General features: G+C 38.6%; 1 protein-coding gene across 1 annotated transcript in view; it reads right to left on the reverse strand.

Moving 5' to 3' along the window:
• Positions 1–24,662, reverse strand: part of MCC (MCC regulator of Wnt signaling pathway) — a 466,348-nt gene that overhangs the window by 351,327 nt on the left and 90,359 nt on the right. The window contains exon 2 of the mRNA NM_001085377.2: positions 11,536–11,780. Coding sequence (NP_001078846.2) covers positions 11,536–11,780 — 245 coding nt within the window. The remainder of the gene's footprint in view (positions 1–11,535; positions 11,781–24,662) is intronic.

Genomic DNA, 24,662 nt, shown 5'->3' on the forward strand with positions numbered 1-24,662 from the left:
GATAAATAACATACATCTGACTATTGATTACTCTGTCTTAGATGTCAAAGTCATTTATTATCTTTGGTTTCATCAGCTGTTTTGTACTTACATTTTAATATATGGGTTCAGTTGTCTGAGAATGGGGTGGGGGAAGGTTTACAGTTTCCTCTTTCATTCCCTTGTTCAGAAGAACTCTTGTTCGCTCCTCATGGCAGATGACGTGACCTCTCAAGATAAATTTAAACAGATTCTTCCTCTATTTCTTTGTTTCATATTTTCCATGGGTTGGAAAAAAATGGTTAGTTTTAAAGCTGTGAAATATATAAAGGATACTGTCATGTAATATCCTTAATTATGTTCATAATTTTAAAACAAGATTTGCCACATAAAAGCTACCCGTGCATAATCAAGATTTTCCTGTGTTAACACATTTTCACTGCAGGATTGCTTCCCTATACATGCTAAGTTGAGAAGCTGAGGTTTTTTGTTTTTGTTTTTTTTTTTTGAGACAGGGTCTCACTCTGTCACCCAAGCTGGAATGCAGTGGTGTGATCTCAGCTCAACCTCCACCTCCCAGGTTCAAGCAATCCTTCCACTTCAGCCTCCTGGGTAGCTGGGACCACAGGCCCACAGGCGCATGCCACCACGCCTGGCTAATTTTAGAGATGGGGTTTCACCATGTTGCCCAGGCTGGTCTTGAACCCCTGAGCTCAAGTAATCTGACCACCTCGGCCTCCCAAAGGCTGCGGTTACAGGCGTGAGCCACGGTGCCCAGCCTGGGGCTTCTACTTTTTTTTTTTTTGTTTTTTTTTTTAATAGCAAAGCCATTGCAATAGTCGCTCCAGAAAATGTCTTTGCTATGATCTTAACAGTGTTTGACAGCCTTAAACCTTCTTTGTTCCTTGATCCTGATGGACTCTGTAAATCATTGTCTGGTACTAAAACAATTGTCAGCTCAAACGTCAGGAGCCCTAAACAACCCAAAGAGACAAACTAAAAGAGAAGTAAGTTCTGAGGTTTATATTTTTAAAGGAAACCTTCAATGAAGCATTTCTCAGTCTCTTCCACCAGAGTATGCTGAAGGCAGAGGATAGTCAAAAGAGTCTAGGGGACAGACCGACTTACGCCCGAGCCAGAGATTTCTTTGAAGTCACATGTTTCATCTTAAAAATTCATTTGAATGGTTAATTCTACGCCATATTTGTATTAATACAAATTTTAAGCAATTTACCAAGTTATATAACTTTTCCTCCAAATAGTCAACTAAATTGATGCTTGAGAAGATGCACCATGTTTGCTGGGCACAATGGCTCAGCTGTAAATCCCAGCACTTTGGGAGGCTGAGGCAGGTGGATCATTTGAGCCCAGAAGTTCAAGACTAGCCTGGGCAACATGGTGAAATCCCATCTCTACAAAAAATACAAAAATTAGCTGGGGCATGGTGGTGCACGCCTGTGGTCTCAGCTACTCAGGAGGCTGAGGTGGGAGGATGGCTTGAGTCCAGGAGGTCAAGGCTGCAGTGAGCCGTGACTGTGCTACAGCACTCCAGCCTGGGTGACAGAGTGAGACCCTGTCTCAAAAAAAAAAAAAAAAAAAAAGATGCACCATGTTTGTCTTGGAGCTTTTAGTACTTCCCACACCCAACCACAGCTATGTACTCCCTGGATGTTCATATAACTCGGTATGATGCACAGGGACATTGAATTTAATTACAGGTTGAATACTTTCTATTGAGCTCTTCTCCAACTTATCATGACCTGGGTGTGTTTCCTTATTTCAACATTGTTCCATTTTTTTTTTCCAGTTTTCCAAGATCAGCTTGGACTTAATTTCTTCCAAGAGTCTTCTCTGGTTTCTGACAATGATTCTCCTTTCTCATCTCCTATAGCACAACTTGTTTGCTTCACACATTTTTCACTTGATCATATATGATCCTGTACTAGTTCTATTTATATGTTTTGTCTTGATTCACAATAATTTCACAAATTTCTTAAGGATAATTCTCTATGTGTTTCATGTTTACTGCTACATAAAAAACCACCACAAAACTTAGTGACTTAAAACAGCAACAATTTACTGTTTCTCGTGATTCTGGGGGTCAACAATTCTCAGCTGGGCTGGGCTTAGCTGAGCAGTACTTTGGCTTGTCCCATCTGGGGTCACTGATGTGACTATAGTCATCTGGTAGCTTGACAGGGGCTGGAGGGACTAAGATATCCACACTTAGTCCATGTCTGGGGCTTGGTGCTGGCTGTTGGCTGGGCCTCCCTGTGTGGTCTTTCAACTTTTGTTAGTCTAGTCCAGATGTTCTTTCATGGTGGCAGGGGTGTTCCAAGACATGAATGAAGAAGCTGCAAGGGATTTGAGGCCTTGGCTCCAGAACTTGCACAATTTCATTCCTGTGACATTTTATTTTCAAAGCAAACCACAAGGCCACCCTAGATTTAAGGGGTGGGGAAAAAATACTCCACCTCTTGATGGGAAAAGCTGCAAAATATTGTGGCCATGTTTTTCAATCAGCCACATCACACATTCTCTTTCTTCTGTCAATTTAGCAGCAAGTGTCATAGCGAAGGCACGTACTAGATATTAGCTGATGTGAACTCAGTGTTCTGGTGTTTTCATTTCATCCAGCTTGAGACTATATCCTCAGGATAAGAGTAGATTTAAAATAAAAAAATTAACCTTGGTAATATTGATCTTTAACTCATTACTTGGACTGATTTTCTCTTTAAAAGTTGCTCAGATCCAAGCACACATTTCTTATTTCAAAGGAATAACTGTACCTTGAACAAACAGGTTCATGCTTTGAAGACTGACAATAAATTGAAAATAGTTGTTGTCCATGGGATTAGGTGCTATGGGTATCAGAGAGCTTTGTTCACTGGTATATTTGTTTATTGGCCAAATACTCACCCAATGCATGCCCTGTGTCAGTCTCTGTACTATTTGCCCAACATGCATAATTGAGTAGAGAAGATGGATATACAGTGGATGATTATAACACAATGTGGCTGATAATTGCAATGACAGTTAAATGCACAAGATATAATGAAAACACATTAAGAGACATAAAATAAAATGTTTACCAATTCAGTTAGAAACTTACAATTGGGTTGTGTATAAGACACACATGAATCTCCTAGTTGCCATATTTTATACACACACACACACACACACACACACACACACATATCAGTATTATGTAGCATTATTAAAGCCTTTTGAGGATGGTGAAAATACACATAAAAAGAAAACTTCCATTAAAACCATGGAATGGGCATCTGTTATTTTTCCCTGCCCGGCACTCATTCGCCTTTCTGGTAGTGACAGCACCTTGATTCCCTACCTGCTCTTTCCTCAGCTCTTAGTCCACAAGATGGGGATAGAGCCAACTCTACCCTAATTTCTCAAGCTGAGCATGTAATCCAGGCCTGGCCAATCAGATCACTGCATTCTTATAGTCTGAGTGACTTGTTCAGGAATAGATATATGACCCAAGAAGAGCTAGTGAGACCAATTCCCAGGACTTCTGTGAAGCCACCATTAGAGAAGAATCCCTCTTTTCTCTGTGGCTACCCGACAGAATGGCTGTAAGACTTGGGCTGCTGGAAGCCATGACCAGGAGCCTGAGAATAAAGCCAATTCTAAAGGAAAGGGCTGAGACACAGCAGAAGGAAGGCTGATGACATTTGATCCTTTGAATCCATCCATGCTGGACCTAACTGCCTAGGCTTCTCCAATATGGTCACATTTGCATTCTCTCTCACCACCTCCCACTTCTTCTTCAAAGTATTAGAGTTGGGTGTTTGCTGCTTGTCACCAAAAAGCCCTAATATATAGTACAGAAGGAACAAAACTCAAGAAGTAGGTTTGAGGGGTTGTATAGGGGTCATAAGAAGGCCAGCATTACTGAAGCTAAGGGCCCATGTGGGAAGCAGTGGGAAACATGATGTGATATAGTAGAATGAGCCCACTAGATGGTTAGGAGTCTTGACATCCAAAAGCATCCAGAGGTGACAGCATAGTCAATTAAGTAGATAAAAGAGAGCTGTATCATGAGTACCTAGCAAAAATATTAGGAAGCCATAGCAGCACTGACTGAAATCAACAGCTTGCAGGCAGAAAGAACAACTAGGAGGAAACTCCAGTAATCAAGAGATGAGGGAGGATCCATACCTAGACCATGGTACTGCCAATCTGAGAAGTATGAAGAGAAGAATCAATAGGAATTAGGGACTCCTCAAGGACAGGAAGGACAATGATTAATAAAAAGAGACAAAAATTAACTGCTAATCAAAGACTTGGCTAAATTTGCCCAAACTTAATCTATAGATAGTTGCTTCACAGCATTCTCAGTATGCAACAATAGAATGTAAAATGGTACCCATTACTTAAAGACTTTAAAGGCCTTTATAACTCCCAATTAAATATTGGAATAAATTAAATTGTTTACCCTTTGACAGAGGGCTTAGAGTATGTAAAATAAAACAAAACTACAACAAAAATGAAAAAAAAACCCTTTTACCTTCAAATGGGGCTGAAGGCTATCGTGTGTGACTTGAGTCTGGTTTTATGCTCACTGGGCAGTATTTTTAACAATGAAATCTAATAGTAGCATTCATTCTGGAAAACTGGGATATGTCAGGGCTGAATAGATTTTGTATATATTAATTAAAACTGTAGTTTTAACTTTTTTAAACAAGATATCAAACCCAAATTCAGGAGGCTGCTTATTGTTTCTTTAAATCTGCCAAGGAATCAGGATATCTCCTCATACTTCCTCCCTTGGGCTTGTGGGTTTGAGGTCCTTCCTGTCTCAACCACATATTCTTTCATCTAACTTTTTGAGTTCCTATTAGAGAAAACTTTTTTTTACTGTTAGTTTTTCTGAGAAACTTCAGTACTTTATTTTTTCCTTAGACCATGGGGCACCATCAGAGCAGCAATGAAGGCTGACACATCAGGTGAGAATCTACCTCAAGGAAAGGGCAATAAAGAGTCTTTGGAGATATAGGTTATTGGAAATTGTGCCTGGTGTTCTAATCTTAGTATAAATTAAAGGTAATTGTACTAATTAGCAGGTTGTTATGTCTACTATCTTAAACAATGTTTTACAACTACGGAATTTGATTGAAATAAGTTTTGGGGCTCTCTGAGACCTGACCAAAGGAAGAAAAACAAGTGCCCCCAAAGCTCTGAGAAGCACAGACAGGTGACAGCCTCATTAGGTCAGCTCAAAGGGATGCATCAGCTCTCCTCAGGCAATCCCTGCCCCTTCAGTGGCCATCAGCCTGAAGCACTGCCCCTTTCACATAATTCACATGTTTGACACAAGTACATGGAATCCATGTGTAAGGTTTACAGCTTGGCTGAAGTAAAAAAGAAAAACTATTTATTCAAAAGGGCATGTTTAAACAAAGGCTCCGTTGGAATTGCTAACATATGTAAATATCTAATGCTAGAATTTCTTTTTTAACTCCAGTCTTTCCCAATCACAAAGAAAAGCACACTTTTCAAAATGAAATCTACAAGTAATTATAATGAACCTAGATTATTTGTTTTTCATGGGAAAATTAGGTAGCATACAGAATACCTCACAACTGTTCTGGTATAATGTATGCATCACTTTGCTGCCAACAAGATGGGCTTTCACTAACACGAATTGCCCTCAGACCCTGCCTCAAGTCCCTGAGGACCATATGTCTGTCATTTCTGGGAGTGGCCTCTGGGTGGCAGTGTTATTTTCAGTTTGCACTTTGCTCATCACGTCAGTTTTCTAAGTTAAAGTTGCAAGAGACTCAATCATCTCTTTCAACAGACTGAGTGTTCTCTATTCCTTACTTGCTCTGTGGCTTACAGCCTCAGTTTCCTCCTGTATAGAAGGAGCATTCTATTCTAGATGAGGAAAGTAGTTGCAAGGATTAGAGATGATAATGATAACAACACGATTATATACTGAAAACCTGTGATATTTTAAGCTCTATGTAGGAACTTTACATGTAATATCTCACTAAATCTTTCCAACTTCCCTATAATGTTTGTGTTACCGCTTTATCTTGAGACATAAAAAACTTAAAGCTCAGAACAATCAGGAACTTAGCCTAAGTTCCATGGCAACTCAGTGGTGAAATTGGGATCTATCTTTCTAGCATTATAATACAAGTAAAGTGCCTAGCAAATTGTCTCATGCTAATAAATACTAGTAATTTTAAAACATTTGTATTATTGCTACAAGTATTAAATTGTATAGCTGATGTCTAAAACACATAAAAATTTAAAAATATTGTTTCTGGGATGGCTTAAACCGATATAAAAATCTGTTATGACGTGTTTGTTCAGGTGCCTTAATTTTCACCCAAAGAACTTTTGAGCAGAGAATGCATGGCCTAAGAGAAGCTTTGTGAGTAAAAGTTTATAGTCAATTAAGTGTGGAAAATGCTTATATTTTATTCTTCTTCTGGAGACTTTCAAGAAACAATAGCATATTAAAGGCTCCGAGATGTCTTGCCATAAAGAAAACTATAATCTAGTTTAACCCAAAGTTTTCACATGTACTTAACAAAGAAATTCCTTCCTCACATAATATTTATAACCATCTCTTTAAATCAGTGTTCTGCAGAAAACACTTAGGAGGAATGAATCTATGGAAATTCCTCTTCCGAGCTGAGCATGTAATGTTTTGACTAGTCTTTTTCTGCCAACCCAGCTCCCTGCTGTAGATGTGCTGTGAAATGTCGAGGCTGACAATAAACTTCTTCTGGCACTTAACTATTAAACCGAAGTTTTTCTTAGGCTTTTCTCACAACAGCACAACATTCTTTCTACTTCTCTCCATCCTACAGTCACAGGTAACCATTTCCTGAAACTCCTGTTCACAGTATTTCTTAGCTCCTCTTACAGAGCAGACCATAACTTCTGTACCATTCGATGGCTTCCAAACTTTTGTTAACTCTACTTTAAAGCTTATTGTCACTTAATTTGTCATGTGCTTATGCATCCACAATCACATTATAAGTTATTTAGTGTCTGGAACTGTGCACTGCACTTCCCTGTGTCCCTAAAGTAGCATGACAGTGCATTGCTCATTCATTCATTCATTCATTCATTCAACAAACATGCACCAAGCATCTTCCCTGTGCCAGGCACTATTCTAAGTGCTGGAGTATAGCAGTAAACATGACAATCAACGTCATTAGTAATCCGGTGGAAATTTATTTGTATGGGGAAAGATAGATAAGTAAATATTCAAGGAGGTACATAACTCATGTCAGATAAGGGTGAGTGGTATGAAGCAGTTAAGGGCATGTGAATGAGGAAAGGAGGAGAGGCTGCTTGAGCTTGGAAAGGCCTCTCTGAAGAGGAAATATTTAAGCCCGGTTAAGTGCCTAGTAAAGGCTCAGAGACAGGCTGAGTTTGCTAAATTAGAGGAAAAGCAGGAAGGCCAGTGTGACTGTGGCAAACATGGTAAGTCAGGGGAGCAAGATGAGATCAACTCAGAGTGGGTGGTGTGCACCACATTGTGGTAAGGAATTTGGACTTTATTTTAAGATGATACAGAAGCCACAGAATGTTTTAGACATGGGATTGAACTAAGCATGATTTTATAACTTTAAAAGACAATTCTGACTACAGGGTAGAAAATAAAATGTCAGGAGCCAAGGAAGGGGCCAGGGAGGCCAGTTAAAGGTTATTTTAGTAGGCAAGGCAAGATATGATGGTGATTTGGACACGGTGATGGCAGGAGAGCAAAGGAAGTGGGCAGATTCTGGCTATACTTTTGCACGCGAGACAGTGGGACTTGCCAGCTTGAGCAAACAGATGAACAGAAATATTTCCAAGATGCAGATATTTACTAAATGCAGATATTTCCTAGGTAAAGGTTATCTGGGAGACTAGTAAGCCTGGGAGAAAAAGTAGGGGACAGAATCAAAAGTTCTTTTTCACTGCATTAAGGTTGGAAGTCTGTAAGATATCTAGGAATACATGTCAATTTAACCTGATTCTGGAGATCACAGGAAAGGGCAGGGATATATATAATTATATTTGGGAGTTACTGGTACAAAACTAGTATTTAAAACCATACGACCAAGCTCGGCATGGTGGTGCTTGCCTGTAATCTCAGCACTCTGGGAGGCTGAGGCAGGAAGATGGCTTGAGTCCAAGAGTTGAGACTATCCTGGACAACATAGTGAAACCCATCTCCACAAAAAAATACAAAATATTAGCTGGGCCTGGTGGTGCATGCCTGTAGTTCCAGCTACTTGGGAAGCTGAGACAGGAGGATCACTTGAGTCCAGGAGGTTGAGGCTGTAGTGAGCCATGATTGCACCACTGCACTCCAGCCTGGGTGACAGAGTGAGATCCTGACTCAAATAAATAAATAAATAAACCCATGGGACCACAAGAAATCATCTAAGGAGAGAATGTAACCCCAAGGCACCTCCAAATTTGGAAGTAGTATAGGCTGAGAAAGGGAAGCTAAAATGGTAAACAGGAGAACATGGTGTCAAGAAGTCCAAGAGAATAAAGTATAGCTAGCATGAAGGAGTGGTCAGCTGGGTCAAAATCCAAAGATTTAGATGTGGGCAGAAAAGGAATCTTTGGATTGCCAACATGGAGGCAGCAAGAGCAGGGCCAGCAGAGTGGTGAGGACTGAAGATGGTAAGAGTTCACTGAAGAAAGGGTCAGAGAAATAAGGCAGTACTAATGGGGACACAAAGTCAAGAGAGGGTTTCCCTCCACCCCCAGAAGGGAGATCCTGGAGTTTACCTAAATAGAGTCAGAAGGAGAGGTTAATAGTATAGAAAAGAGAAGGACTAATTGAACATGTATATCTTTATCTAATTATTGTCCTTTTTTTTTTTTTTTTTGGATACAGGGTCTTACTCTATCACCCCGGCTGGAGTGCAGTGGTGTAATCATAGCTCACTGCAACCTCTAACTCTTGGGCTCAAGTAACTCCTCCATATCAGCCTCCTGAGTAGCTAGGACAACAGGCATGCACCACTGCACCTGGCTAACTTTTAAATTTTTTGTACGTTGCCCAGGCTAGTTTCAAACTTGTGACCTCAAGTGATCCTCCCGCCTCGGCCTCCTAAAGTGCTGGGATTACAGGTGTGAGCCATGGTGCCCAGCCTAATTAGTGTCAATTTTTGGATGTATTTGATTTACGTTAGGCTGAATAGGGAGTTGTTTTCCCAATCCCCAGGACTTAAAACCGGGTGGTAATAATAATAAGAATATTAGTTTAACACGTATTTAGTGATTATGTGTGGGGCATTGCTTTATGGACTTTACATATATATTAGCTCCTTTATTCCCCCAAATAACAACTGCCCCCATTCTACATTTGAGGAAAATGAGACACAGAGAGGTTAAATAATTTGTCTAGTGTCATGTAGACAGTAAGCATCAGAAACAGGATTCTCACTCAAATAGTCTGACTCTGAACTCTTAACTACCAGGAGAAAGTGGTAGGAGGTTTCACAGCCGCTGGCACTTCCTCAGTTCAGGACATGTTTTATGAATCACCTCCTGTCAGTTACCACCTCTTTTCCCAAGGGTATAAGGTTATATAAAAGGATGAAAGGGTATTGTTTTTCAATCCTTTCTCTGGTCAGGACAGTCTTCCAAGCTGGTCAAACCAATTAGATGTGTGCAGCAATTCTTTCAAACCAGTTCCTTTTAGGATTTTTATAAATATCTACTACACATAAACAATTTTTTTTCACAAAAAATTTCCTTCTGTGTACATATTTTGATACACATTTACACATTATTTTAATGCTATATAGTATGCAATTATTGGTTGGGGTGTTCCACAATGTACTTAACACTTCAACTATGTATGTGTGTACACTTATGTGTTTATAGAAGAAATCCATGTTCTTGGCAGAAAAATCTGAAAATACAGCTTAGCAGAAAAAATTCCTTCATTTCATCATTTAATAAATATTTACTGAGTGTCTATTTTGTGTCATGCAAACTTACGAATCATGCTTTCAAATACCATTAAAAGCATGAAGAAAATGCAAAAGAAAAACTGCAAGATACAAAATATGCAGAAGATATGTGGAAAAATTAGTAAAACACAAATCACACACATGACGAGAGAGACAGAGGGAGAGGAAAAGATTCCAGAAGTAAGTATATCAAACGTAGGCAGTAGTTATTATTTCCAGGTGGTAGGATTAGTATGATTTTTATTTTCTTCTGCTTGCCTTTTTTTCCCCGTGTTTTTTTATAATGAACATATATTACTTGAATACTCAGAAAGTTTGTATTTCAATATTAAGTATTTCTACATATTATGTTAAGAGCACATGCATTACCAGACATCTGATTTGCTGCTAAAGTAGAATATATGAAGGTAGTAACGCATGGAGTGTATGTGGACATTTTTATTGTTTCCATTACTCAATAATAAGAAGCATTGTTTAAAGATGTGTGTGTATGTGGCACTACACAATTATCTATGCTCATTTGGACAGGGACAACCAACATGACCCTTTACTTCTTGCCAATAGATCTACCTAGCAGAGAAACAATGAGATCAAAGACACATTTTCAAGGAAAAACAAACCCTGAAAATTCAGATACTTTCTTCCGTCTCTTTGTCAAGGCTACCCTTTAAGATGTCTCCTTTCTTTCCTTTTTAACTTTTTATTATGTAAAATCTCAAACATACTAAAAAATATGTATAACTGAGTATTCAAAAATATATACAAGAAACCCCATGTTCCCATCACCCAATTTCAATAATTATCAACAGTATTAAGAACTTTCTTTCCAACTGCTTATCTTGCACCAGTAAGAAATATAAACTTATGAACAGAAAAACCATCTTTATAGAAAACGATTTTAATCTTAAATTTAAAAAATTGCTTTTAGGCCAGGCGCAGCGGCTCACACCTGTAATCCCAGCACTTTGGGAGGCCAAGGCAGGTGGATCACGAGGTCAGGAGATCAAGACCATCCTGGCTAATACGGTGAAACCCCGTCTCTACTAAAAATACAAAAAATTAGCTGGGCGTGGTAGCAGGTGCCTGTAGTCCCAGCTACTCAGGAGACTGAGGCAGGAGAAAGGCGGGAACCCGGGAGGCAGAGGTTGCAGTGAGCCGAGATCCCGCCACTGCACGCCAGCCTGGGCAACAGAGCAAGACTCCGTCCCCCGCCCCCCAAAAAAATTGCTTTTAAAAGCCTCTGCATGTAACCTTGAAACTTCCTCCCCAAAGAGCTTCTGAGGCCTGCTGATGCAGTTACTACCTTTCTTATGCATTTGCCCTTCTTCCATAATAGCTACTTGAATGCATTATTATACTTAGAAAATGGAAGAAGCAAAATAAAGAAAGCAGCAAGCTGGGAAGTGTGAAGCCATCAGACAGAACTGGGGGAAACAGTGAGCACTCCCCCAGGGAAAGTGTGGCCAGGAGGGCAGCCTCAGTATGAGCTGAGGCTGTGGCCTCATGATGGGGAGGCTACTCTCATTTAATGAGAGATCACAGGCAAGGCCAGTGGAGTGCCATAAAACTGCCACCTGGTTATACCTACCCAAACTGTTGTCACTGCTCGTGGGCCAGGAAGCAATTCTATCCCTCAGCTTCTTTGTACAGGAGTTGTCTGACTTTGCAGAAAGATCTACTTCCTCCTTCCTAATTTCTCGAACAAGCTGCATGCGGCATCTTGTGAAATCCTGAAAGGAAATCTTCCCATTTTCATCTGCTCCCAACTGGTTCATGATCTCAGCCACAGACTCTTCCATATTCAGCTGGCGACAGACCATTAGCAAGTCATTTCTGCAGAAGGGGTTGAACAGAAGAAAATGTGTTATGAGTGACATTTAAGCTAGAGAAACTGGTTAATGAAAAAAAAAAGGTATTTCTTAAATATATTCACATACTAGACCTATTTTCAACTTTCTCATTGTTTCTAGAAAAGTGATAAGTGTATGAAAAAAACGTGTTCCATTTGGGTTATTCTAAACAAAAACTCTATTATTTGGAATGGTGAGGCAACTTTTAATCTTTTGTTCTCTTTTTCTTCCTGTTTCCACACCCTTCTCTCCCTTTCTTTGTTTTGAAATTGAGGATTATAAAGTTCTTTCTTTACACCTGAAGAGCATAGCACTGTAATCTCACTGTAAGATAAAGTTTCAGAACATAGAACAGACATTATTTCTACTCTTGGCAGAGTCCAAAACCTAGTCAAGTTATAAAAGAACCAACAGAGATTTTAACAAGCTTGATTTTCAGCTTTCTGGACCAATCAGCTAACTTTAGTACTTGTTTAAAACATCATTTAATCTTGACTTTCGTGGTTCAATGCTTAGCTACCTTTGGTTTTTCCTGCTTTTGAGTATTTTCCACCTTCCCACAAGCAATCAGTGAGCCCTAAGACTAAGAGCAGGGATCAAAATCTCAATGTCTTCCAGGACTAGATTTAATGTAAATGTGTGCAGTGGATAGATCTAAGATAAGAGGGCTTGGTGGGGTCTGTGGCTGGACTAGAGAAGTGTATCCAGCCTATAGAGTCTCAAATTTAAAAAAAGAAAAATAAAAAAGAATTTCAAAAAGAATAACAAGAACAATAACCCTATGCTGACCAAGAACATTTATGTGGAGGACATCGGTTTGATCCCTGACATACAAGTCTTGTTCTTTTCTCTCTACCTAACCTCCTTTAGCAAATATTTTGCTCATATTCCTCCAACTGCAGGTTTCAACAAAGGTCAAAGGACTGTAGAATTTAAGTGCTGGAAGAGACATTAGAAATTTGTTCATTGTCACAAACAAAGCTAATTAGTGTGCCTGTCTCAACATACTACCAAAGTTCAGTTATCTGGAGAATATAACCAGTTTGATGTTTGCTGATACCTGAAACCTAATCATGCTAAGACCACTCTTCAAGTCACCCTTCACAAATTCTATCTCCTGGTCAATGTCACTATGGTCTCTCTCAAATTCCCTAGGCTCACAAAATTGTGGGCATTTTTAATATCTTCTCATTCACTCCTCCTTATCCCTAATTCTGTGCCCTGCACTCCCCTCCCCCACCTCTGCCCTTGTCCCCTTCCCCAAGTTTCCAGGGTCTGAGTTATCATCAAATTTAGGTTAGTCTTCTCCCCGAAATGCTTTTATACTTGCTCTTTATGGTGTTTCTAAATAAATGTAAAAGACTCCAAGACCTTTCAATTTATGCCAGGCCTATGCCACCAGCCTTTTTAGCTCATCACCCTGCTTCCATATGCTATCCCATTTTCATGTTTTATAAAGAATTTTTACACATAGCTACATGTTTTATCTTCTGTGTACATGTGTGTCTGTGTCCATATGTATATCATATATATATATATATATATGCCTCTGCATCTGTGTATACACACATACACATATACACATACACATATATTTGTAAAGTAGATGCATGAGGATAGGAATAAATATATACATGGAAGTGGGTATGGCAGGTTAAATTATTAATATTAGTCCTAATTTTTCATTATCCCACAGTAGTGTTATAAAAGTATACCCTTGCCTTGGTCTCAGGGCCAAGGACATTCATGGTAGGTGTGTCCTTTCCCATCCCTTAACTTCAGGCTTCACATCTAACTTGCTTTGGCCCCTCGGATATTACTGGACAAGTGCCTATACTGTTGAGCTTGTCCCCTTTTGCTTCAGTCATCATTAGGAGAAAAACATACCATGGTAGCCATTATCCCTGTATCTAGCCTGGGTCTCAAAACAAGCCACCCCAATCTATCTGAAGACTCATAGCTTAAGAAAAGTCATTCCAGCTGACCCCAAAATGTGTGATCAAAAGTAAGTTCTTATTGTTCATGCAAATTAAAGTTCATTCTTAAGCTCAGATTTTGTGATTTTTCTTCCATCAGTAGCTAATCGATAAACTGGAAAAATGTTTGTTTGGTTTTTAAAGTAATATTTTCATATAATATTTTCATATAAGACCTACCTGATATTCAGCCAGATTCATCCAAGAGTTAGGGATGATTAGGATTGCTAAAGCAGGAATACCAACAGAAAGAAAGGATCCTGCTTTTACTCTGAGTTCAGGGTTCAGATTATACTTTCTAAAATAAGGATTTCTTTTTTAGATATTTAGAGAATAGTCTTAAATTTAGGCTTAGCAAAAAATAAAGAGGTTTTCCAAATTCTAGAAGTTCATGTAATGTTAACATTAATATTCTCTGATTGGTAAAAATATGGTGTATTCATTTTTCCTGTCTGTGTATTTTCACTTTTCACAGTGTATTATACTACTTTCATAAATTGATATGTCATTGTAGGTTTAAAATGGGGATAGTAGTAGTACCTACCTCATAGGGCTGCTCTGAAAAGAAATGAAATAATACATAGAAAGCACTTAACATAGTTCCTGGCACATATTAAGTACTCAATAAACAGTAGCCATTATTATGGTTGTTTTATAATTGTTGATCATAGATCTTTCATAATACCCCAGTTTCATGATTAGGGCTTTAAAAATGAATTGTGATCTGCTCAGGGGAAAAGAATACTGAACGGAACTGACTACCTCACTAAGTGGTACAATCTGTCCACAGAGGCCCACCCTTCCTCCCTGCTGGCAGCCCACTTACATATATTGGGCACCCTGGTGAGAAACTCAGCTCTATCCAGGCTTGAGAAGCCCCATTCTACAAGAAACAGCTGCAAAGAAGTAACTGTGGTCTAGAAATACCAACTCAGAGTAGAATGTGTAACACTGAATTTTAATTTTAAACGTGTAGGCTGTTGAGAGGCTGATATAAAAGATCAAAGCCAAAATACATTCATTGCACTCTACCAAATTAAGTCAAATTGTAAGTTTTAAATAGAAGTACTAGTTTTTAAAAACTAAATTCAAGCTAAATTCTTTCAGTATAGAAATACAAAATTAACAATAATAACTAACAAGCCTGCAGGGGAATTACAATTATCCCCTGATATGGTTTGGATGTTCACCCTCTCCAAATTCCATGTTGAAATGTAATCTACAATGTTGGAGGTGGGGCCTGGTAGGAAGTGTTTGGGTCATGGGGGTTAATCCCTCATGAATGGTTGAGCACCATCCCCTTGGTGATGAGTGAGTTCTCTCCCTGTTAGTTCACACAAGAGCTGGTTGTTTAAAGAGGCCTGACACCTCCTCCCCCACCTTGCTCCCTCTCTTGCTATGTGACATGCTGGTTCCCCTTTGCCTTCCGCCATGATTGGAAGTGTCCTGAGGCCTTCACCAGAAGCAGATGCCAACATCATACTTCCTATACAGCTTGCAGAACAGTGAGCCAAAATAAACCTTTTTTCCTTATAAATTACCCAGCCTCAGGTGTTTCTTTACAGCCACGCAAGAATAGACTAACATGTCCCCATTTTACAGATTATGATATGACAGTTGAAAGAGTCAGAGACAGTATGAGGCACAGCCTGGAAATCTAAACCAAATCGGTCTGATTCTAGAGCTCTTGCCCTTTCCATGCTATCATCTAGCATCTCGGACATTAATAACAGGTACATTTTGGCATGAGAAAACAATTAGGGACAGCACTAACATGAGCAGCTTGATTATCAAAGGTCATGAATTAACAACGCTTTTATATCAAACCAGAAAATTACAATCATCTATACATGTGTTATCCTTCTATGTTACACATGAATGAGAATATAAAGTTACATTTTGTTACCAACAAGATGAGAAAACAAAGTTACAGGAGAGGAAGAAAATTATAAAAGCTCTCCTTTATATCAAGAGCTAAGTCTGGAGAACTTGAATCGCAGGGTATTTCCATACGCCACCTTGCCAGGTTGTTACAAATGGCCTTCAATGACGTACAGTCCCCTGTGACTATGCCTCTTTACAGCATGCCTTTGCCATTCCTCCCATCAATAGGTGGAGGCTATTTCCCTGCCCTTGAATCTGGGCTGGCCTTGAGACTGGCTTTGACCAACAAAATGTGGCGGAAATAAAATTCTAGGATTCTGAACACACAGGCCTAAAGACACCTTCTAGCTTCCAATTTCAACTCAATGCCTTCCACTTCCATGCAGTCCTGGCAGCCTGCTCAGCCCCATGGTGGTCTTTTCCTTCTGATAACATTTAGTACCTGCACCAGTCATTTGGTGATTATTTACAGTTTTGTGACAGCTTTTGGACTGTACTTAACTTTGATTTCTTTCTCTCTTTCTCTTTTTAAAAATTGTTTTCACATATTCAATCCTTATCTTCCCAATATGACCATGAGCTCCTGGCAGCCAGTGTTGATGCTACGTCAATTCCCTTTGAGATGTGTGCAGCACCCAGCACACCACCACATGCACAGCAGACCCCATCACATTTGTTTTGATGGAATGATACTTAAACTCTCAGAAGTTGAAAATGATCTTTCTTTTAAAGAGGGTCCCCACTTTGGATATTTTCCACCATATACCTGTCTTTGTATTTTCCCACATAATGCAGCACATGGGATGCTCAGTAAGTATGAAGGACCAATGGCCTCCATAAAACACTAATAACCCTGTAGCCTTAGTGACAGAACAGCAGGACATTTCTCTGCCCTAGGCAAGGAAAGTTTTTCAGAGGAAGAGATACTAAATTGAGACTGTCCAAAACTAAGATAGTCCAGCAGAGAACTATATCAGTAGCAATAACAACATCATGTAAGTGTTCTGCCTTGAAAAAAAATAAAACTTTTGTATATTATTTCAGAAAACACATATTCATTGTAGAAAATGTAGACAAGCAGAAAGAAAATACAGCTTACATGCAATCCCTTTACCTAGCAATAACCACAGTGAATATCTGGTGAATTACACAAAATTGTACTGAACATTTTTTCCTCTAAGTCGTTATTGTTACAAATGCTTTAAAAGGTGTTTCATACTCATATTCATGCACATATATCTTATCTTCAGATGATATCATCATAACATGAGAAAGAAAAAGACCTCAGTTTGTATCAGAGGAGCTGGCCAAGTCAGGCAATATTTAGCTCTTAGAGAACACCAATCACCAGACAGCAGAACTAAAATGACTTCAGTCATTTCAAGATTGATGCTTCTCACTCAAAACTGCATGGTTTCACAATGAACAGCTATTATTTTCTATATATAAAAGTCTTCTTTTTCTCTTGGCTATTCTTCCTTTAACTTATAAAGAAATTGAGTATGAAGTGAAAATTCAGTAAAACTATTTGTCATTCAAGTAAATTCGCAGCCTAACCTTGGGGATGTATAATGGGAAAGATGGGCTTTGGTCTCTCAGGCTCAGGGGCAGAGAAAAACACTATTCTTCCCCACAATGATAATAAATCCCAAACCCAGTTGGAATGAGGGCTATACAGAGGCAATTTAAGTAGTAGGTTGCATGCTTTTGTTCGAAATTCTCAACTAACAGAGACCCCTGGACCTAGTAGGTAGTCCAGAAATAGTTGCTCATGAAAGACTACAAAAAACATCTAAAAACTTATTTTGCCCCAAATCTTCAATTTGAGTCACACAAAAAATGTAATTTAGAAGTCTCTAATTTCAGTTCTACAAATATTGAAAGTATGAAAATTATAATTAGGTCATAAAAAGTAACAGGTTTCCGGGCTATAGTTGGTAATTTCTGTGTACAGCTGTTGAACGGAATAAATGCATTTGCCTTTCTTTCATCATTGCTTCTTACGAAATAAGTAGAGTGAAGTACAAAACAATAAGCAAATAAGCAAACAAAACCATATTTAAGAAAAAAGGAGAAGAAGTTATTAAATATAGGAAATTTCAACAAATTTCAGAGAGACACAAAAGAGATGGGAGCATGATGATGGATGATACAGGCGCTAGAAATCCTTGCCTAGAATATGCAGCAGGGGAGCTGCTGGGTGGTACTAAAACGCTGAAGGTTCTGGGTTTATAGCCAGCCAGTGTGATGAATTGTGAGAATGAGAAGTGGGGCTGAAAACAGTGGCTGTACTTCCTTTTCCTAGCATGGAATAAGGAGATATTGTCTAAAGTTGGTAATCAGGGTTGGGCATAGTGGTTCATGCCTGTAATCCCAGCACTTTTAAAGGCCAAGGCAGGAGGATCACTTGAAGCCAGGAGTTCGAAACTAGCCCGGGCAACAAAGTGAGACATTGATCTTCACACAAAAAATTGAAAAAATTAGCCAGGCATGGTGGTGCACACTGTAGTCTCAGCTACTTGGAAGGCTAAGGCAGGAAGGTCACTTGAGTCCAGGAGTTTGGAGGCTGCAGCGAGCTATGATTGTACTACTGCACTCCAGCCTGGGTAACACAGCGAGACCTTGTCTCTGGGGAAAAAAAAAAAAGCTGGTCATCAGGATACAGAAGTATTAGCATATTTTTCCGTGTTACGGAAGAAATGATCAGGAGAACTAGAAGCACAAATGGTACCAAGACTTTGCCTCTGGGGACTGGGCATGGGTGTGGAGAGGGAGGTAGGGTAGGAGGGTTGTGTTTTGTCACAAACTCTTCTGTACAATTTTATTTTGTTGTTTCCCATATGCATGAATAGTTTTTATTAAAGTAATGTTTTCAAATTTTAAAAAACCAAATAGATTATTAATGTAATTTGAGATATGACAAAGATTGTATTTAGATAAAGAATTCCACAATGCAATAAGGAAAATATAACAACCCAGTAGAAAAATGGGTAAGGCTAGGCGTGGTGGCATGTGCCTGTAATCCCAGCTACTTGGGAGGACGAGAAGGGAGGATGCCTTGAGGCCAGGAGTTCAAGGCCATAGTGAGCTACGATTGCCTATGAATAGCAACTGCACTCCAGCCTGGGCAACAAAGTGAGACCCCGTCTTTAAAAATAAAGAAAAAGTAAGAAAAATGGGCAAATGACGTGAACAGTCAACAGAAAAGAAAACCCCAATGGCCAATGAAGATATAAAAAGATTCCTAACCTCACTAAGTATAAGGAAAACGTAATTTTAGAAACTGGATGCCATTTTAGTATCTAATGGATTGCCAAAAACATTAGTCTTACAATACCAAGTGCTGACAAGGAAACAGAAACTTTCACATGGTATTGGTGGAAGAAAAGCTGGTACCACCTCTTGAGAGGACTTTGGCAACATCTAAAAAAAAAAAAATAGACTCAAGCATACCCTTCAACCAGAAATTCAACTTTTAGTTACATGTGCTCAAGAAATTTATGCATAAATGGAGGAGACATGAACAATATCTGTAACAGCAAAGAATTGAGAAGAGGTTAACAATAATATTAATAGTCATATTTATAATAATAGCTAATACACACTGGATGTTTATTGTATGCCAGGGCTTGAGCTACTCCTTTATATATATTAATTAATTTAATGCTCAGAACCACTCCATGAGGTTGGTACCATTATTATCTCCATATATAAGTGAGGAAATTGAGGAACAGAGATGTTAAATAACTAGTCCAGATGCCTATCAACAGAAAATACGTATATATACAAATTGATGTGGCATCACATAATGAAATACAATAGAATGTAGGTTTGAAAGAAATGCATCTACAATGTATCATCATAAAAAATCTCAAAAACAGTAGTGAGTAAAGACATCAAGTTGAAGAATGACATAAACAATATGACAGTATTAATCAAAGGTTTAAAAATATACAAACAATGCTATAAACTGTGTATAGATTTACACATAGGCAAGTAATAAAAACAAGGTCAAGAAGCATAAATCTCAACTGTAAAGAGGTGAGAGAGGGAGAAGAACAGGATTAGGGAAAGGCACAAAGGGGGCTTGACATGCATTTGTAATGTTGTTTTTAAGAGCTGTGGACAAATATAATAACTTCTCTGCAATCTGGGTATGGTACATATGTGTTAATTACATACTCTGTAACTTTCAATATTTAAAATGTCTCTTAATTTAAAAATCTAACATATATATAAAGCCGATTCAAAATAAGTTTGGTCTGAGGCTATAGTTGGAGGGGAAAATGTTTAAAATAATGTCATTCATATCAATAAGTGTTTACAGGAGATGACCCTTGGAGTTAATCAAATTAGATGAATGATCCAAAATGTCATTTTGGAACTTTTGTTCATCCTTACAGACTAGAGAGCATCTGGTTATTTTCCTGGTATGACTTTTTAGGAGTGGAATTACTCATTGTTAAAAGGTTCAATCTCTCAATATAGTTTTCTCAACATCCTTCGAGAAACATCAGATTTATAGTCCCACTAGCAGTGTCTGAGCTGCTCACGCTTTGGCTATGTTTCTAGAGACAGTAGTCTAATTCCCTACATAGAGAGTATTCCCTATGTCCTCATTTTCTTTTCTGCAAAGGCATTCATAACATATAATCCCAGAGACACATTTCTTTCTTTCTCTTCAGTGCTTAATGCCGACTGCTACCTTCTTGAAACTCTTCCTTCAGTCTGTTAAACTCTGTCTTCTGGTTTCTCCCATCTCTGTATGAAAGGTCCATATCAGAATTCTTGTCCTTAAATACATGCTATCTTAGAGTCATATCCTTGGCCCCCTGTTTTTTCACTCTAAAACTCTCTACAGATAATCTAATCTAAATCTGTGGCTTTCATCTACCACTATGTATGGCTGACTACCAAATTTCTATCTTCAATTAAGTAGCAATCCATTTTCTACTGGGTAGATACAATTGACTGTCATATATTTATCTTGAACTCAAAGTCCTGTGCTTAATTCATCATCTCGTACCCTTTCCCAAATTTTCTCCTTCAACCTACATAAATTATACCATCCAGTCACCCATGCTGGAAATCTAGAAGTTATCTAGGATGTTTCTTTCTTGGTTATCCCCATACTCAATTACCAAGGACTGGAGCTTTTATTGTCTAAATAGCTCTCACATCCATTCCGTCCTGATCATCCCTACCTCTCAACATTTTCCACCTGGTTTACTGCATTGGTCTCCTAATTGGTCTCACTCTTTCCAACAGGCAGCCAACAAATTCTGTTACTCTTTCCTGCTTAAAATCCTTTATTTGCTCCCCACAAGACTTTTAGCTTCATACCCAAGTTTCTCACTTCATAGCCAAGGCCCATCAGAGCATAGCTGGGCCTACCTCTCTAGTCTCATCTTCTTGCTGAAGTAGGTAGCCTTCATTCCAGCCACCAAATTTCTTTTAGCTTCTATAAACGGTCACTGTTATTTTACATGCTCCTGCTTTGCACATGTTTGTCCCTCTGCTCAGAACATCCTTTTCTTTCCCTTTCTTCAAACTCCAGCGCATGTTTCATAAGTCACTTGAACAGCGTCTCCTTCAGAAATCTTCTGTATCTCACATAACTCCCAGTCTAATTTGATAGCTCTTCAGTATCTTATCAAAGTAATTGCTCAAGCTTCGATCACTTACCCCACTCTATAGTAATGACTGATTTATTTTATCTCACTTCTAGTAAACCAGAGGTTGGCAAGTAAGACCTGCAGCCAAATCTAGATCATTTCCTGTTTCTGTAAATCTAGTTTATTGGAACAGAGCATGCCCATTTATCTATGTAATGTCTATGACTACTTTTTTGCTATAATAGCAGAGTTGAATCATTGTGACAGAGACCATATGGCCCACAAAACCAAAAATATATACTATATGACCCTTTACAGAAAAAGTTTGCAAATCTGTACTAGGCTGTAAATTCCTAGAGGACAAAGTTCATTCCTTGTTCATTATCTTTGAGTCTGTAACACCTGGTATACAGTAAGTGCTAAATAAATGCATAACAAATAAATGAATACGTGGGTAAATATAATGTTAGACTTGAGGTAAAAGAGGTGAAAAGAGAACCTAAAACATGAAAACTTTAATGCCATTTCTCCTGTACTTTTTGCACACTTCATTTTGCAATCACAAATTAAAACAAAACAAGTTGATATCATTAGGTTTTTAAATATCTTCTAGTATATATGTATGAAAGGAAAATAAAAACTTGGGACCCTAAATTCACTATGCCAAAAGAAAAAAAAATTAAGCTGAAAGCTGAGTCATGCAAGAAGCTGCCTTTCCTTTTGTTCCAAAGAAGATAGCTACAGATAAAAAGTTAAATATCTCCACAGGTAGCTACTCTATGTTCACCTTATCTTATTTAAAGTGCCAATTTACTGAGCACCAGGCGTATATGTAATTGACTATTCCCCTACCTGCTCCTTTTCTCTTGCAATATATGAATTCAGTAAGGTGACCATACCCTCCCTCTTTCCCCCCAGGCTGCTGTTTCCCTTTAAATACTGAAGGCTTCAAAATCCATGCACGCTTAACCTTGGCAAAATAAACTTCTAAATTGATTGAGACCTGTCTCAGATACTTTTTGGTTTATATATGCTGAGCTCCATACCATTCAAGTCAGTAATCTAAACTTTCTATATAAATAGATATTAATTATGATGCTCAACTCTTCATAATTGCCTGGGGTGATTAATTAAAATATTTTGATGCTTATGCTCCATGGCCCATGCAACTACATCAGAATGGTGGGGGTGGGGGACTGGGAAATGGGAGAGGGGAAGGCAGCATCAGTATTTGTTAAAAGGCTTCCTAAGTAGTTCAGAGAACTTCTGTCCTATATCAACAGTCCTAAGGAATGAGGGTTTTCAGGACACTCAGGAGTCTTAGTGATCAAAAACAAACAAGGCTGGGTGCAGTGGCTCATGCCTGTTATTCCAGCATTTTGGGAGGCCGAGGCAGGAGGATTGCTTGAGCTCAGGAGTTTGAGACCAGCCTGGGCAACATGGCAAGACCCCATCTCCACAAAAAATACAAACATTAGCTGGGTATGGTGGCATATGCCTGTAGTCCCGGCTACTTGGGAGGCTGAGGTGAGAGGATCATTTGAGCCCAGGAGGTGGAAGCTGCAGTGAGCCCTCATTGTGCCATTGCACTCCAACCTGGGCGAAAGAATGAGACTGTCTCAAAAACCAACAAACAAAAAAACCGAGCCATGCACAGTGGCTCATGCCTATAATCACAGCAGTTTGGGAGCCCAAGGCGGGCAGATCATTTGAGGCCAAAATTCAAGACCAGCCTGGCCAACACGGTGAAACCCCATCTCTACTAACAATACAAAAAAAAAAAATAGCCAGATGTGGTGGCACACACCTGCAACCCCAGCTACTCAGGAGGCTGAGGCAGTGGATTGCTTGAACCTAAGATGCAGAGGCTGCAGTGAGTTGAGATCGCGCCTCTGCACTCCAGCCTGGGTGACAAACCATATTGTGGTCATTTAGGTACTTGCAAGATAAAATAAAATAGATTATTTTGAAAAAAATCCTCTATAGAAGTAGGAAAACAAAAGGATTCCTCTGGAATTTAAGCTCCCCAAGGATGGAGAATTTTGTCTATTTTCTTCACTGTTGTATTCCCAATACCAAGAATGATACCTGGCATATAATAGGTACTTGGTAAATAAATAATAAATGAATAGCAATTTCTTCTTTTGCTTTTGATCAACCAGAAGCCCATGATTCCAAATATTCCACTTAACTGAAATTTTACAAAAGAAGAAGGCAACCTGGCAGATACAGTATTCAGTGAATCAACAGATAACTTTCTTTAGGGGCATAAAAATTATATTCTACAATTGAAAATGGAGTTTTAATGTTAAAAAGGGAAACCAGAGAGACACTGCTATGGATAAATGCACCTCAGCCCCTTTTTAAAATTCAGCTTTTAATTTAAAAAAGGTCAGCTGTAGTCTGGAAACACATGTGATAATAACATGAAGAGTTATGAAGGAAAGGGAAAATCAATTCCAACATTACCTAAACAAACAAACAAAATGCCATATGACATGCATCTGAAGGAATTAACTGAATTCATCTTGGCTCCTCCCACTGTCTTAAAGCACTCACCAAGTCTGCCAAAGTAATTAACATCCTACACTGGCATGACGTTGAGCCCATGCATTCGTTCTCTCTCTTACTCTGTCACTCTGCATTTCTAATAAAACATTCTGCTAGAAATGATGAAACTATTGGTCTAATTCTCATATCTGAAAAAACGCTTTTGGTTGTGGTTACCAACTTGAAAAAAATACAGAAAAATAGGAAAGACAAAACAAAAATCAAGATTGAAAGAAAGAATAAACATTTTAAGTCACCTAATTTATATTATAAAGATTATTTTTGAAATGTCAAGCCTAATGGAATATTGAAATATAAGCTTTTTCAATGGGGAAAAGACTCCCTGGTCAATAAATGATGCTGAGATAAGTGGCTAGCTATAAGTAGAAGAATGAAACTGTCCCCTTACTTATCACCATATACAAAAATTAACTCAAGATGGATTGAAGCCTTAAGTAGAAGACCCACAGCTATAAAAATCCTAGTAGAAAACCTAGGAAATACTCTTCTGAACATTGGCCTTGGAAAAGAATACATGACTAAGTCCTCAAAAGCAATTGCAACAAAAATAAAAATTGACAAGTGGGACCTAATTAAACAAAAGAGCTGCTGCACAGCAAAAGAAACTATCAACTGAGTAAACAGACAGCCTACAGAATGGGAGAAAATATTCACAAACTATGCATCCAACAATGGTGTAATATCCACAATCTATAAGGAGCTTAAATCAGTGAGCAAAAAACAAATAACTTCATTAAATAATGGGCAAAGGACATGAACAGACACTTCTCAAAAGAAGACACGCAAGTGGCCAACAAACATGAAAAAATGCTCAACATC

Source organism: Homo sapiens, chromosome 5 (assembly GCF_000001405.40).
Source record: "Homo sapiens chromosome 5, GRCh38.p14 Primary Assembly".
Lineage (NCBI taxonomy): Eukaryota > Metazoa > Chordata > Mammalia > Primates > Hominidae > Homo > Homo sapiens.